This window comes from Homo sapiens, chromosome 3 (assembly GCF_000001405.40).
Source record: "Homo sapiens chromosome 3, GRCh38.p14 Primary Assembly".
In the NCBI taxonomy this organism is placed as follows: domain Eukaryota; kingdom Metazoa; phylum Chordata; class Mammalia; order Primates; family Hominidae; genus Homo; species Homo sapiens.
The window spans coordinates 13,329,152-13,344,990 of record NC_000003.12 but is presented as its reverse complement, the minus strand read 5'-3'; the positions used below and the strand labels follow the sequence as shown (position 1 = coordinate 13,344,990).

The following is a 15,839-nucleotide window of genomic DNA, read 5'->3' as shown; positions in this document are numbered from 1 at the left end:
GATGGCACCCGGCAGGACCAGCCCCCAGAAGAGGGGAGAAGAGGTGCTGGAGGAGCTGACGTGGATGCAGGAAGACTGTTCTGAGGAAGGACGCTGGACCTGGGCCTGGAGGATGACTTGGAGCCAGCAGGTGGAGGCTGGGGAAAGAGTCCAGGTCTTTAAGGTGGGCTGCGAGGCCCGGAGGCAGGCAGCAGCAAGCTGTCTGTATGAGTGGGAGAGAAGGCCTGCGTGGCTGGAGCGTAAGTGTAGTGGGGGAGGGTGATGTGCATGGAATCTGGAGTGGAGGCAGGAGCCAGGCCATACCAGGCTTTACAGGGCGTGGTAAGGCTTTGAGCTCATTCTCAGAGCACTGGGCAGCTGTTGAGGGGTTGATGTTGGGAGTGATGTGATCCTATTTGGTTGTCACCTTTGGGTCAGAAACTTTATTTTTATTTTATTTATTTTTATTTTTTATTTTTTTGTAGCTTCTTGATATTGAAACTCTAGCTTTGCAAACCCTGAAGTGCTTACTTTAAAACCTCTTGCTCCCCACCCCATGAATATGAGACCACAAAGAGCAAGCAACAAAGCCAGGCCCAGATAGAGGAGTGGGGCAGCCTGCTGGACTCGCCTCATGGCCTGTCCCTACTTGCCCAGCTCCAGGACCACCTGACTGAAATATGCGCCTAAGTAGTAAGACAAGCTGTATGAATTCCATCATAAACAGACATGTTACTTGTGTGAATGCCCATCTTCTGCAGCATGAAAGGGTGATTGTGATGCACTTTCTTAGGGGAGAGTCTTAAAGGTAGAATCCCTAAAAGTGGGTAGAGAGAAAAGGATTAAAAGGTGGGCTCTTGCCTTGAGCCCAGGAGTTTGAGGTTGTAGTGAGCTGTGATCCCGTCACTGCACTCCAGCCTTGGGGACAGAGTGAGACCCTGTCTCTAAAAATAATAAATAAAATAAACAAATGTTAAAAGGGTCTCTGGCAGTGAAAAGGCTGGAAAAAACTAGCTCTGATTTGTTCATTCACTCACAACACCTTGGCAGTCACTGCTTCACACAGAGCTAGGGATGTGATGAGACACAAAGATGAGCGAGATGCACATAGCTCACACTGGGGTGGCCTTGCGGGTCACTCCCAGGCTCTGTGGTTCCATCAGTCTGATTGGGACTTCCTGTGCAAGCTGCCGTGGGAAAGCATCTGCCTCGTTTTCTGCCAGCCCCTGACTTGCGGTTTCACAGAAGACCCCATGGGGTGCTTCTCTAGCACCAGGGCTGCAGCAGCAGGTGGCCAGCTCAGGATGTGGCATCCTGGGACTGCATCCTCACTCTGCCCTCAAGTTGGTGCACGTCCCAAGGCTGCTGACTGGCCCCCTTGGAGCAGCTTCCATTTTCTTCTCTTTGTAAAATGTGCAAGTGGAGATCAATGCTCTGTGAGATCCAGCCTGGCACTAATGTGTTATATCCCAAGCCCATCTCCTGGCCAGCAGTGGGGCTCATGACGAGAGGTGGGCAGGGCACTACTTGGGGTGATTTCCCTTGTCCACTGCTTCCCAGTGCTGGCCTGGCGGGCTCTGCCACTGGCATCCCATGAGGTGATAGGCTGGTGCTGAGGGCGAGGCACTGCTCACAAACCTGAGCAGAGGGGGGCCCTGCAGCTGCGTAACCCACCACCCACCCCTCCACCTCCGCCCCAACCTTGCAGGTGCACCCTTTGCTCCCGGGCTCATCCACCATCATGATCCATGACTTGTGCCTCGTCTTCCCGGCCCCAGCCAAGGCTGTCGTTTACGTGTCGGACATTCAGGAGCTGTACATCCGTGTGGTTGACAAGGTCAGTGGAAGCTTCATGACGGGGCACCCTCGGCTGACCTGCAGGAACTGGGAGGGAGGGGACTGTGGGAGGAATGTTCCGCATGGCCTTTGCTTTTGCTCCTGTGGTCTGCATCCCTTCCCCTGTGAGCTTGCGGAGCTGTCTCCCATCTCCTTCGCTCCATGTGGAGGATCCAGAGTCCCTTCAGTAAGGGACTTCTTCATCCCAGATGACATACCCATGAGGCTTGGCAGTAAATCCTGCTGTCTCTAAATTAGCCATGACCTGGGAATTCATGTCTTCTGGCTGGTGTAGGTTATTAACCAACGAGGCACATGCCCTGCTGAGCATGTATTTTCTTCCCAGAATATAGGTTTTGGGTTCACTGGGGTGTCAGTGGCAAATGAGTACAACTCACCCATGCCAAGCGCCATTGCAAAAAGAGACAAGGGATAGATCTCGGTTTATCTTTCACACTGATACAGAATTTTTATTACTCCAGATATCTGAGGTGACTGAAGCTGGGCTTCCAGAGGGTTGCGGTCAGGTTCCTCAGTGGATAGAAGGGCTGGTAATTAAAAGGGGAGTGTTCATGTGGCTTAGGCTCCTTAAGAAGCTAATATGCTGTACCCAGCCTCACATACTCCTTGTATAATCTCATTTCCACTGCTGTTTGCTAATCATCTGTTTCTTCGCTGTGTATTTCTGATTCTTATTTCCTAAAGTTCTTACTGTATTATACACTGCCAGGTGTGAGCTGTTCAGTCAGTGAGCATTTATTGAGCTCCTACTGGATGCTGCTGTTCTAAGTGGTGTCTCATCTCCCTAATTAGTGTATTAGTTACTTAAGAGTAGAATGTGGAATTTATGCCTCTAAGTATCCCCAAGCTCCCCCTCATCGATTTTCATTTGCTGACTGGCTGATAGTCCAGAAGTCAACCTGGGTGACTCTCCTGATTCCCAGGTCTGTGGGTTGAGGTTAGTGATGCTATCTCAGAAAGTCACGGAGCACCATAGATGGTAGGATTGGTCTTTTGGAGGCTGCCCCTGAACCTCTGTCCCCATGATGCAGGTGGAGATTGGGAAGACAGTGAAGGCATACGTCCGCGTGCTGGACTTGCACAAGAAGCCCTTCCTTGCCAAATACTTCCCCTTTATGGACCTGAAGCTCCGAGCAGCCTCCCCGATCATTACATTGGTGTGAGTTCTCCTAGGGGTCAGAGGAGGGCACCTCAGAGACAGTGCTGACCCCAGCTGCAGCCTTTCCCACGGGGTGGTCTTGGAGAAGTCCCAGCCCTTCCCTCTGTTTCAGGGCCCTTGATGAAGCCCTTGACAACTACACCATCACATTCCTCATCCGCGGTGTGGCCATCGGCCAGACCAGTCTAACTGCAAGTGTGACCAATAAAGCTGGACAGAGAATCAACTCAGCCCCACAACAGATTGAAGTAAGACGAGTTCTTCCCACACCATGTGGGATCAGCCCAGTGCTGGGGGTTGGGAGTGTCTTTATAGTACAGTCCAGGAAGCTACTGTAGAGAAGCCATATAAAAATCTGTGTCCCACAATGTCCTCTCATCAAAAGGCAGCTGTTACGAGCTCTAGGGATCTGGGAGGCAGCAAAGTTAGACTGGCAGAACCAGAGGGAGGGGGCCAAGTGACTTGACCTTTCCTCTGTGACTTGGGGGATTGTGTGGCTCAGAGAAGGGGTGTGCCTGGTCACATGGCAAGGGGACACACCAGGACTATTCCCAGAAAGCACTGACTGGGTGGAAGCTTAGACAGATGCTGACTCATGTGTAGAAGAACTCCTTAACCATTGGTCCTGAGCCTTAGAACAGGCACTTCGAGGGCAGTGGGCACCTGTCACAGGGGCTGCGTGAGCAGAGGTATCATAAAGGGAACTCCTGAAGTAGGTGATTCCTGGATGAAGGGAGCTTTGAGGTCCCCACACCAGCTCAGTGTGTGGTATGGGGCTGTCTCGGGGCATTAGGTTATGACAGGAGCCCCACTGCAGCCACAGGCCATGGCAGTTGTGGCCCAGGCATTGTTTTAAGTCTATTCACAGCAGCGGCATTAAACCAGCCCTGCCAGCATCCACCCTGCATCCGGGCCACTCGGGGGCTGGTGAGCGTCATTAATCTGTGATCCGAAGCAGGTGGGTGCCATCTGTGTCTCTAGATGGAGGTGCACCTTTCTTCTGGTGATGAGAAATTTGTTTCTGCCCATCAATAGCACAGCTACAGAGACCGATACTCCCACACAAGTAGCACCCTGGCCACCTCCTGCGTCCACTCACCTACTCTTGCCAGGCAGGCTCTTGTAGGGGTTTCAGGAGGAGCAGGTGGGGGCTTCACCTGCTGCAAAGAGTGGCACCAACGTCCCTGGTCTCCTCCCAGGCTAATCCGGAGGGTGTGCTAGAAGAGCAACCTCTGGGGGTCTGGGTGCTCCCATATCGGCAGGGCTGTCCTGTGGGGCCACCCCTGGCTCCACAGGCCAGGTGGCTGGGGCTGTACATTGCTAATGTGTCCCCAGGCGCTGCTGACATTGCTGCTTAGTGACCACACACTGAGAACCGCTGCTCTAAGGGGATGGCTCAACTGCATAAAAGCCATCCCTCCAAGGGGACGGCCCAGCTTTTGGGTTTTAACATCTAGGGAAAGTGAAACACAGTCACAAACAGAAGAACACACCCCAGAGAACCAGGGAGCCTCGGCCAGTGGCTGGGAGACAGCCCCCAGCATTGGCCCAGGACCCTGGGCCCTCTGGTCACTGCTCAGAGAGAAGTGATGTCCATGTCCCAGGTTTTCCTCTCATGAAACATGTAGTGTGTGAGTTATGCTTGGCGCCATGGGCTTGGGGCACAGTAGTCCTTTCTCTCCTGTGTCTCTCAACAGGTCTTTCCCCCGTTCAGGCTGATGCCCAGGAAGGTGACACTGCTTATCGGGGCCACGATGCAGGTGAGAGCCAAGAGGCCACGTCCTGCTCCAGCCCCAGTGCAGGCCACCACCTGGTTCCAGGCACGCCGCCTCTGGCCCTGCGTGCAGTGACTGGGAGAAGAAGGCAGAAGCTGCCTGCACTGGGGCCCTGGCTCTCTGAGTGGGAGGTGCGGGCTGCCTGGCATGACGGGCACTGACACGCCGCTGTTTCCTCCCCGCTCAGGTCACCTCCGAGGGCGGCCCCCAGCCTCAGTCCAACATCCTTTTCTCCATCAGCAATGAGAGCGTTGCGCTGGTGAGCGCTGCTGGGCTGGTACAGGGCCTCGCCATCGGGAACGGCACTGTGTCTGGGCTCGTGCAGGCAGTGGATGCAGAGACCGGCAAGGTGGTCATCATCTCTCAGGTAACAGGCGTGCTATTGGAGACTGGGCAGCTGTGCCTGGGACAGAAGCCTCTTTACTGTGTTTGAGTTCTACCTCTGAGGACCACCCCTCTCCAAGGGTGCTGCTTCTGCCCCCTGGGTCTGCAGTCACTGCAGGGGCCCTGGTGCAGGACAGCCCTGCCAATATGGGAGCACCCAGACCCCCATTGGTTGTTCTTCTCCAAGCTGAGTCTCCCAGTCCTTCCAGCTGCTCCTTATGGGACAGGGTGTTCAGCAACTCCCGGCCCCAAAGGGCCCTTCCAGTGGAGGATGATGGCAATCATGGTGAAGGCAGATGCTGCTCTGAGCACTTTGCCTTCATCTCCTTGAATCCTCTCAAGGCTCAGGGCTAAAATCAGGGCCTTTGCATTCTCCCTGACCTCCTTCGCCAGCAGTGACTTGCAGAAGCATCTCGGAAGGCTGCTTTGGGGTTCCACTCACAGCTGCGCCAGAAACCTGGTCTGTAAGAAGAGCCTTCTGTGATGTGTAATGCAACTGTGGACAGAAACCTGTTTCAGAGTCAGTCATACCATTCCTCATGAGAACTAGGTCCCCTGGAAGCAGTCCGTGCAGTCCTGAGTTCAGAACCTGTAAACACAGCACCCCAGAAGCTGGCAAGTGCACCGCCCTAGAGGGGGTGCAGGGAAATGCTTGTTCTCAGAGGCTGACTGTGATCCGTCATTGAGTTCATTGATTTACTCCTTTTCCCAGTGTGTGTCAATTATGAAGACAAAGAGAAAGACTTGGGGATGTAAAAACCTGTCCTGGGGATGGGGTAGGGTTCAGATGGGCTTCCTGGAGCGTGACATTCCAGACCACAGGAGACTCTGTGGTTTTTTTTCTCTAAAAAGGAGTGCAGCCTCAGGAGCTGGCTGATTTTTCTCCTGAGGGCGTAGGTAAAGGGCAGCTGGCTAGAAATTCAGCAAGAGGGGCACAGGGCCCTGCGTATTCCTTGTCTTTGTGGTCTAACCTTGCTGGGCACCCTCCCTTCTAGGTCCCCCATCTGGCAGGTTGGGGAGGTGCTGGGGAAAGGCCCTGGTGGTCCTTGGCAGGTGGAGGGGCTGCACCACGAGCCCTATCTGAAAGGCATGTTCTGAGCCCAGGCAGGCAGAGGTTTCACCTGCGGCGCCTTGTCCATGCCTGGAATGTGATTCTGGTCAGATGCTTCCAGTTCCATCTGTCCAATCCAGAGCACACAACCAGCACCCCAAGGCCGTGGGGTGGGCCAGGACTAGCAGGAAGAGACTGAGCAGAAAGATGAGTGAAAGGAGGGGAATGGGTGCTTTTCAAGCACTTACTGTGTGCCAGGCATTAGCCCAAGTCATGAGCCTCAAGATGGGCTCAGCCTGAGCACGTCAGAGAGTCTAAGGGTTTTAATAGCCTCAGTTCAGCATGACTCAGCAGCACTAGGAAGAAGCCAGGAGAGTTAGTCTTTGGCCAGATTAATAGGAGTGTGGAGTTCAGAATGAAGGAGGTTATAAGTTCTGATCAGACTCTACAGGGCTCCTGCATTCGTCCCTGTACCCTGCTCAGTCAGAGACAGGCAGGCTGGATTTGGGGTTGGGAGGGCCTGGAGACCTTTTGCTTGAGGGCAGCCAGGCCTAAGGAAGAGCAGGCACCAGTCCCCGGCCCCAAGTCTGCAGTGCTGACCTGGAACAGCTGGATCAGACAGGGCAGCAGCCTCAGGGGACTGGGTTGGGACCTGCGGGGCCTTGGGAGAGGCAGTGGCTGGCCCATGAGGGGAGAGCCACTCACAAAGCCAGGCCTCCCTCGGCAGAGGAGCATGGTGCTGGTCATCCTGAGGGGCCTTCTCGCCACAGACTCTGAGCCGCAGCCTGCTTCCCTTGAGGGGTCCCTTCCTGAAACATCCCTGGCCAGCACTGCATCCCCACACCTAAGTGCCACCCTGTTTCCCCAGGACCTCGTGCAGGTGGAGGTGCTGCTGCTAAGGGCCGTGAGGATCCGCGCCCCCATCATGCGGATGAGGACGGGCACCCAGGTGAGGGGACCTCCTGGGCTCTGAATCCTGGTTCCCGAAGAGCCACTGCTGGGACCCTGTCCTCAAGTTAGAGTGCTTCTCCACCTCCTCCATCTGCCTGGCCCGGGTATCTAGGGCCTGCTTCCCACCTGTCCCCACCCAGGGAGACACCCTCCATTGCTCTCTGGTAGCCACTGATGAAGGCCTGCTTCCTGCTGGCCTGTCACCTTCCCACATCTGGAATAGTACCAGGTGCCTAACAGGAGCACAGTGACTGTGGCACTTAACTCAACTCCGTGCTGTCTTGGACATTAATCCATTTGGTGTTCATAGCAGCCCTGGGAGGCTGGTGTCAGAACCATCTTCGTGTCGCAGATGAGCAAATGAACACACAGAAAGCTTAAGACCCGTGCCCAGGGCCACACAGCTAGGAAGTGGCAGCAGTGGGAGTGGACTGGGCAGCCTGGCACAACACCTGCTGTGGCCTTTTGCCGTCTTGCCTCCGCCTGTGCCCTCAAGCCGACACAGCAAATAGAGACTAAAGGAGCCAGGGACCCCACCCACACGTGCCCTGTGAGCAGGGACCCCAGCTAGATTAGGAGAGAGGGGCCCGGAGGAACCAGCACTGTGGGGCAGCACGAGCTGTGCTGCTGGGGGACCCATGGCCTCCTAGAGCTCCAGGGACTCCTTCCGGAAATGAGTATCTTGGCCATGGAGAGGTGCAGCCCGCTGCAGGGGAGGGACAGTATGGGGAAAACAGTCCCACCTCTGGTTTGCTCGTTTGATATTTCATCAAAATTCCCAAACCTGTGCCATGCTCTTCTCTAGTTGGGGAGGAATTGGGTTCATCTCCCACTGCTTGAAGGAGGCAGCAAAGCTTCTGGGGGCATTCCCAGTGCTGGGAGCTACTGCTCACTGGGCCTGACTTCTCCCCTGCAGATGCCCATCTATGTCACCGGCATCACCAACCACCAGAACCCTTTCTCCTTTGGCAATGCCGTGCCAGGCCTGACCTTCCACTGGTCTGTCACCAAGCGGGACGTCCTGGACCTCCGAGGGCGGCACCACGAGGTAGGTAACCACCCCCTCCAGAGCTCACCTCCCACCCCTGTCCCAGGCCAGCACCCCGAGTGGCAGGGAGGGTTCCTGCCACATTGTCCCACAGGAAGTCCCCACCCTCACACCTAGAGAGGCCCGCCCACTTTCTTCCCTCTCCCGAGGCTCATCGGGACTCCCTTCTCCCAAATGCTAAACACATAGACGGGGTGAGTAGGTGCCTCTCCCAACAGAAGCAGCCGTGTGAGGAAGTCACAAAAGTCCTGGGAGGTCAGAGTCTGCAGCTTCTGACCATTTTCTGAGATGATGCCTGGCAGCCCTCGGTTTCTCCTGGTTCATCCCAGAGGCCAAATTCCCCTTCCCTTAGCCCAGCGAGGGGCCCTGGCTTCTCCTAAGATGTCAGAGCTGGAAGGTGCCAGGGAGACTACTAAGTCTGTCTGTGTTAACTGAGGCCAGAAACGGGAAGGGACTTGCCCAGGGTTGCCCAGCAAGCCAGTGGGGAAATGGTACTGGGCACCAGCCCCTGTGACTCTAGGCCCAAGCCCAGGTGGGCCTTGGACACACAGGACCCAAGTGGAGGGTGGCTTGAAAGGTCGCTCCCTGCCTGATTCAGGGACAGTGGGGATGGAGGCCTGGAAAGAGACCAAAGCCCAGGGATAGGATTTCCTAAAGGCTGCCTGAAGCTTGTCTAGTGTGGGACGAATGCCCCCCGACCCCACCCAGTGGGAACAGAGTCCTGTCCCTGGTGCCCGGGGGCTCCCCCAGATTGCTCCCATGGAACACAAACAGTGAGACTTATTAGCAGATATCCCCAAACAGAATAGTCTGCAGGGACACACTGCAAAACCCAGCATCGCTCTGGGTGACCTAGAAGCACTGAAGTCTGAGGGACATCCTGTCATGAAGGCCCCTGGCTTACGTGGGTGGGCCCAGTGTTTTCCAAATGCATCTGTGCATGTTGTGCGATGCAGGCAGGGCAGGACCCGGGCACCCATGCTGGGGAAGCCGGGTCTGCACAGCTCTGGGGTTAGCAGACCCAACCCAGGCAGGAAGGCAGAGCCCTTGAGAACAGGCCAGCAGCTACCAGGACTGGGGGGCTGGGGGGTCTGGGGCTACTGTCCGGCTCTGCCTTTTTGAGGACACAGGGGCCTGGGCCTTACCCCTGAAAACGTGTTTGATGTCTTCCCAGGCGTCGATCCGACTCCCGTCACAGTACAACTTTGCCATGAACGTGCTCGGCCGGGTAAAAGGCCGGACCGGGCTGAGGGTGGTGGTCAAGGCTGTGGACCCCACATCGGGGCAGCTGTATGGCCTGGCCAGAGAACTCTCGGATGAGATCCAAGTCCAGGTAGGAGGCAGGTGGAAAGGCCACAGGGAAGGGGGAGAGGAAGTGCCAGCTGCCCAATCTTCCTTCGGGGCCACATGTTGCATGGGCAGGGGCTGAGAGACCTGAGAAGCTCTCAGTCCGTGGGGATGACAGTGGTCCATCGCAGTGGGGTAAACATCCGGGTGTGATTGGTGCTATGGGAGCCCAGAGGTGGGGCCAAGCAAAGGCTTCACAGAGGAGTAATGTTTCAGGATGGGAGGGGCTGGCAAAGGCCTGGAGGTGGGAACTCACTTGATGTGTGGCCAAAAGAGCAAAGAATTCTGAGCTTGGGGCTCACTGTGTCTGAGTGGCTGATAATTTAATCGTTTGTGTTTATTTAACACACATAGAGCACCCAACAGAGGCTGGGGCGCCCTTGCACGTTTTTCAGTATTGCTGCCTCCAGTCCTCAGGTGAAGCCTGCGGGGCAGGGGCTGCAGGGGCTGCCACCTGCTGATGCCCCTGAGGCGGGGAGGGTCAAGGTCACAGGGTAAGTTGGGGGTGGCCTCAAGAGGCCTGGGGACTGTGCCCTGTCTGCATTTGGAAAACAGCCTCAGAGAGGGAGGCGCCTTGTTCAGAGCCAGGGGTCAGGACTGCGTCTAGTGGTTCTCCTGCCTGGGGTGCAGCCCTGTGTCTGTATCCAGCCTGTCCCTGCTACTTATAGGATGGGCTGTGGGCGAGTTCCTGCCCCTCTGGGCCCCTCTGCAAGGTGGAGAGTTGGCAAGTTGGCTCTGAAGAGCATTTTTGTCTTCAAGGGCCTCGTTCTGCTCCTCTGGGCCTCAGTAACCCCTGGGTGCTCCTAAGCTGTAAAGAAAAACAAAAAGTGTTCCTTATATGTCCCAAGAAAAGAAACAGTTTCTAGTCCCCGCCTCAAGAAGAAATAAACTATGTCTAACCCAAGCACCTCCCTGATCAGGGGCAAAGAAGCAAACTTTTCAAGAAAGAAACACCCACAAAAAAACCCCCACCGATCTGCCAACCCCTCACCCCTGCCTGCACATGCACACACACACGACACACATGCACACACAGACACACATACATAGAGACACATACATACAACACAGAGGTACACATGCACATCCCCACACTCACCAAATGCATGTTCTTTGTTAAAAGGAAGTAAGTCCTGGAGCCTATCATGGAATTAAAGGCAGGGTTTTGCAGCTTCCAAATTCTGTAACCTCAGTTGGGTCACTTGGCAGCTCTGTGCCTCTGTTTCCCTATCTGACAGCAGGTAGAGTTTGAGTAAATCAGAAACTAGAGAATCTGGATCCAGCCTACAAACGTGTTTTATTTGGCTCACTCAGGCCTTTGAGACAGCTTGTTGTCATGTAAAGATAGGAAGATTCCAGGTAAAAATCTAAGATGCAGCATGTCCTAAAGATATGGTGTCTGCCACAGCAAAATCAGCAGGCAATGAGAAGCAACCTTGACTCCATTAGAGCTGCACTCTCCAGTTTGCCACAGGCCCCGCCACTCCCTGTTTTCTCCCTGACAGTGATATCAAGTATCAGTTGCCATTTACCATGGTGCTCATGCTGTTGCTTTTCTTATAGTTAACAGGAAAGTGGGAAATATCTTACAACTCCCCCTCCATCTAAAGAGAGAAAATAGGAATGCATGGTTTAAAAAAAAATAGAAGGAATCCTATTTATGAATGTATTTACCAGGCAGTAAGTGTGTCCGAGTCAGACTCAGTGAGGTGGCTTCCGTGTGGATGCCGGAAGGGGGCATCCGAGTCAGCCTCGTCTCACCTGACGCCAAAACCCCACCCAGCTCCCAAAGGCTGTTTCTCACCGTTTGGGAAGTGTTGTTCCTCCTGTCACCTCATATGGAGCCCACAACTCTCAAGACAGGCATGGAGAGGACGTTAGTTGTGGACCATGTTACACACAAGGAAATCTAGGCTTACGTGGACAGAGCACAGAGGAGCTGGGAGGGGTGGAATCAGGCCATCTTCCTCTCAGAGAATCACTCGTCAGATCCGATGATATTGGCCATGGCCCAGGGCTCAGGCCCGAGGGGTGTCCACCTGGTCTGATCAGAGGCCAGTGGAGAGCTCAGGGCACAGCTTTACCTGCCAGCGAGTGGTTGCCCCTGAGCCAGGCTGGGAGGCCGAGGAGGCAGCAGCCCTGAGGGGCCTGAGAGAGGGGACTTACACAGGTGGTGGACACATCTGAAGTCTTGCAGAGAAGGGGCCTGGAGTTCCCAGGTAAGTGCTGTTGCCATGGGCTCGGGGAGCCACCAGGGCCTTGGAGCACTTGGGCGTCCCAGGATCAGATCTGAGCCGACCTCATGAGGCTGATCATTTGCCGGACTGAGCTCCTCACCAGGCCCCTGTGTGTGTCTATGTGGATCCTGCAAGAACATGGCCAGAGCCAGCCAGAGGAGCCTGGGAGGTGGAACGGGGGTTGTTCTGAGATGGTGGCAGTGAGGAGCAGGATGTCTCTGTGAGAGAAGGGAGCAGTTCGGTGGCACCTTGCCCAGGCTCAGTCCTGGCACAGTTATCCTGAGCAAACCCTGGTGCTGGAGTTGTGTGTGCTGCCCTCCGCGCTCACATCCTGGCAGGTAAAGTTCTTCCTCACTGGGCACGGAGGGAGAGGCCTGTGTTTCCAGGCTCCTTGAAGGAGCTCCCATTAGACTACACAAACATGAGCCTGCCTGTCTTTTCTCATCATATCTTTGGCCATGTGTGTGTGTGTGTGTGAGATAGGGTCTTGCTCTGTTGCTCAGACTGGAGTGCAAGCCTCAGCCTCCCAAGTAGCTGGGACTACAGTTGCACACTCCATGCCTGGCTAATTTTTAAAATTATTTTGTAGAGACTGAGGGTTTGCTGTGTTGCCTTGGCTGAGCTACTCTACCCGGCCACACCTTTGGCCTCTTAAAGGTCAGCCCTTCACATCATGTCATCAGTGACCTGACAGACGAGAAAGCCGCTTTTCTCCTCTCTGGCCCCTCCTCGGCTCTTGCTGCTAGGAGAGAAGCAGACATCTGGCCTGAATGTGACTCCAGTGCCCCATCGGAAGTGAAACTTGCCCTCTCTTGCAGGTGTTTGAGAAGCTGCAGCTGCTCAACCCTGAAATAGAAGCAGAACAAATATTAATGTCGCCCAACTCATATATAAAGCTGCAGACAAACAGGTACGTGACTCAGCTCTTGTTTCCAGCAAAGTTGTGCGGCTGTGCTTGCATCCGACACCTCATGTGTCAACACTGTCAGGAGCCATGGGTACTTTCAGGGAGGTTTTCTCCTGCTGTGCTTGGAATGGGTGAGGCCTCTGCCTGCTCCTTCTCTTCTCTGTGGTGCTCCTCTGCTTCTTGAAATCACTTCTCACTGTGGGTCTCTTTTTCCTCCTTGTAGCCTAGAAACATTTTTATGCGAGGTACTAAAATTCAGTCTTTAAAAGGGAAAAAAACACCAGCTTAGAAATGTTGTGTTTCAAGACTTGCCACTCAGAGTGTAGCCCATGAGCCAGAAGCATCAGCATCACCGGGAAGAGAAGATGCAGCTCTCAAGCCCCACCCCAGACCTGCCCAGGGAGAAGCTGCACCCTAGGGAGATCCCCAGGCGAGGGGGCCGCACAGTAACGCTTGGGAAAAGCTGTTTAAAGCTCTTCTGCAAACCTAATTCCTACCTTTGATTCCAAGGGGATGCCTTTCGTAACAGTGGCTTGCATTTGAATGGCAGTTGCCAAGCGGGAGACTCCACGGGCCACAGGACACTTACATGTTGCATGAAACACATACATGTTTTCATTCAGCCAAAAGTAACAAAGTGCCAGGCTCCATGCTGGGCTCCAGGAACACAGATATGGGTGACATAGGGTGCCCCGGAGGAGGGTAGCAGGAGAAGGCTATTAAAAAGCAAGGTGTAGTATTCAAACCAGAGCCCAAAGAAGGGTGCTGTCCATGGGGATTTAGGGGAGGCATGTCCCAGATGGAGATGCTCGGGCTGCAGTTCTTGAAGGATGAATAAGAGTTCCCCAGGTTAAGAGGAAGGGGTTGGTGGGGGAAGAATGTTTAGGCAGAGGCAATAACATTTGCTCCTAGTCATCTATAGGGCTGTGGAAGAGACAGAGATGATGGAAACTAGCCGTGGGAGCTGGAGGCCTTTGCTTCCTGGGTTTCTTTATTATATTAATAAATATGTAAAAGGGTAACAGATACGGCATAATTTGCTTCCTACCCAGTACATAGTATCAGTAGTTTGCTAACAGTTTTCTTAGCGGGTAGTCTGTTTTTATCCTGTTGACAGTCCTTAGAAATAGGACAAGACAGGATCATTACACACCTTTTACCAAGTAAGAAGTCAACGCCGAGAGAAGAGGGGACATAATGTGCACACAGCTGGTGGCAGGACATGTTGGGACCGGCTTTGGATTCTGTCGGACTCAAAGCCCCATCCTCCACTATGCCAGGATGCCTTGCTTCAGTAAATTGAGAACAATTTGCTGCAGAAATGATATTTTACAGTAGATGTCCCATGGAGCTGATGAAAGAAACTGCCCTCATAGTCTCTCCCTCCCTGCTGGCTGACCCACGGCAGGCACTGCTCTGGGAAGAGTGAGACGCCACACTTTGCTCGGAACCATTGGATTTCTGAATTACTTTTCCGTGGGTGACTGATGAAGCCTCAGACAACTGACGGCACGTGGTCCTGAGGTCCGTGGGGCCAAGATTGGGCCTTTTTTCCTCCCAGGAGCATGAGGAGCCACAGACTCTTAGATCTCCTGGCATTGTATCCAGGCCCACTCCCACTGCTGCCATCTACAAAAACAGCTCTGTTTTGTTTTCCAAAGGGATGGTGCAGCCTCTCTGAGCTACCGCGTCCTGGATGGACCCGAAAAGGTTCCAGTTGTGCATGTTGATGAGAAAGGCTTTCTAGCATCAGGGTCTATGATCGGGACATCCACCATCGAAGTGATTGCACAAGAGCCCTTTGGGGCCAACCAAACCATCATTGTTGCTGTAAAGGTAGGGTTGCATTCTCCTCCTTTTTGGAGTAATGAAAGCAATAGCACTGAGGTAATATGCCTCTCAGGTGTAAAAGTGAATACGTTCACCTTCCAGCTAAGAAACTGTAGACAGGCATTTAGAGTAACTCAGGGGCAAAGGTCCTAGGTAGATAAAAAGCTACAGCATCTTCTGGTCATCAGAGCCGAAGATCCTTGGGAAATCATTGATTCCAAGAACTTCATTTCATAGATGAGGCCCAGCAAGGTCCATGATTGGCGTAAGGTTACAGAGCTGGGACTGGCACCACAGCTTCCTGACTGGAGTGCGGGTGCTCCACCCACTGTGCCTGGCCACTGATGTTATCACCACCCATGGTGGAGCTCCTGTTCTGGGCCAGCCCAGTGTCTGGAACATGGTCTGTTCTTAAGAGCATTGAATGTTGTGCTCAGTACCTGCCATACAAGTCGTGACATCCAGTACGTGACATCCACTGTGGTTTTGAGAATGAGGTGGCCCATTTTCCAGACAAGGAGACTGAGGCTCAGAGTGAGAGTGACTTGCTTAAGCTTGCATGGGGGTTGAGTGATGGGGTCTGTCTGGTTTGGGCCGTGTCCTTCTGCCATATCATGGCACTGCCCTCTGCCGTTCTGTGTTCCTTACGGATGGGACCTTCTCCATCAGCATCCCTGGGTCAGGTCCTGGGGTTTTGCTGAATGGAATTTTCTTTCCATGTCTCATCATCACCACTTGCTGAACCCTGGATGACAGAAGACACACACTCACTTAAATCTTTAGACTCTGCCTGGGTCACAGACCTCTTTCATTAATTCACATCATTTTGTTTCAAAATGGGTGCCTGGCAGCAAATCCCCCGCTCTAGTTTTTGGTGAGTGAAAGTGACTGACTGCTCATCCTATTTCAACAAATATGTACTGAGCACTAGCTGTATACCAGACACTGCACCACTGAACTTTGTTAAAGAAATTCAGACCTTTGGAGCACTAGCTTTTGAGCGAGGATAGATTTTCACCTGGACTCAGAGAAACAAGGGCTGCTGTTTATGGAGCTCGGGTTCTTGGGCTCCAGAAATCCCCATTTCCCTCCTTCCCCTGGTGGCCTGCAGGGCATGCTGTGGCCTGCTTAGCGCTGCCCCTGCGATCGAGGAGGATTTCGTTTCTTTAAATGCCCCAAGAGCCAGGTTCTCTGAAGAAACTGGACATTTGCAGCCCAGGGGGCCCTCTTGCAATGTAAATAGTGATCTCATTTATTCAAGTCATGGATTGGGACACTCCTGGGTGGGTTTTCTCATAGAGAGGCCAGTCTGCT

General features: G+C 53.8%; 1 protein-coding gene across 4 annotated transcripts in view, besides 3 other annotated features; it reads left to right on the top strand.

Annotated features, from left to right (window-relative positions):
- The window catches only part of NUP210 (nucleoporin 210), a 104,088-nt gene that overhangs the window by 75,332 nt on the left and 12,917 nt on the right, over positions 1-15,839 (top strand). For 2 of the 4 annotated variants that reach the window (XM_047447795.1, XM_047447796.1), the window contains exons 2-12: positions 16-163; positions 1,688-1,816; positions 2,868-2,995; positions 3,108-3,243; positions 4,693-4,755; positions 4,958-5,137; positions 7,074-7,154; positions 8,073-8,204; positions 9,379-9,537; positions 12,607-12,698; positions 14,357-14,531. In XM_047447795.1, the coding sequence (XP_047303751.1) occupies positions 16-163; positions 1,688-1,816; positions 2,868-2,995; positions 3,108-3,243; positions 4,693-4,755; positions 4,958-5,137; positions 7,074-7,154; positions 8,073-8,204; positions 9,379-9,537; positions 12,607-12,698; positions 14,357-14,531 (1,423 nt within the window). The remainder of the gene's footprint in view (positions 1-15; positions 164-1,687; positions 1,817-2,867; positions 2,996-3,107; positions 3,244-4,692; positions 4,756-4,957; positions 5,138-7,073; positions 7,155-8,072; positions 8,205-9,378; positions 9,538-12,606; positions 12,699-14,356; positions 14,532-15,839) is intronic. The other 2 variants (XM_047447797.1, NM_024923.4) reach the window with 2 other exon arrangements.
- Positions 12,168-12,217: an enhancer, noted in NCBI's record as "active region_19487". NCBI's record gives its function as "activates an Ori minimal core promoter by ATAC-STARR-seq in GM12878 lymphoblastoid cells {active_cell/tissue: GM12878}" and the evidence as "EXISTENCE:reporter gene assay evidence [ECO:0000049][PMID:35858748]".
- Positions 12,538-12,897: an enhancer, noted in NCBI's record as "active region_19486". NCBI's record gives its function as "activates an Ori minimal core promoter by ATAC-STARR-seq in GM12878 lymphoblastoid cells {active_cell/tissue: GM12878}" and the evidence as "EXISTENCE:reporter gene assay evidence [ECO:0000049][PMID:35858748]".
- Positions 14,065-14,232: a silencer, noted in NCBI's record as "fragment chr3:13372259-13372426 (GRCh37/hg19 assembly coordinates)". NCBI's record gives its function as "represses an EF-1alpha promoter that drives an FKBP-Casp9 reporter gene in an ReSE screen in both phorbol 12-myristate 13-acetate-treated (for megakaryocytic differentiation) and untreated K562 erythroleukemia cells {active_cell/tissue: K562 | K562(+PMA)}" and the evidence as "EXISTENCE:reporter gene assay evidence [ECO:0000049][PMID:32094911]".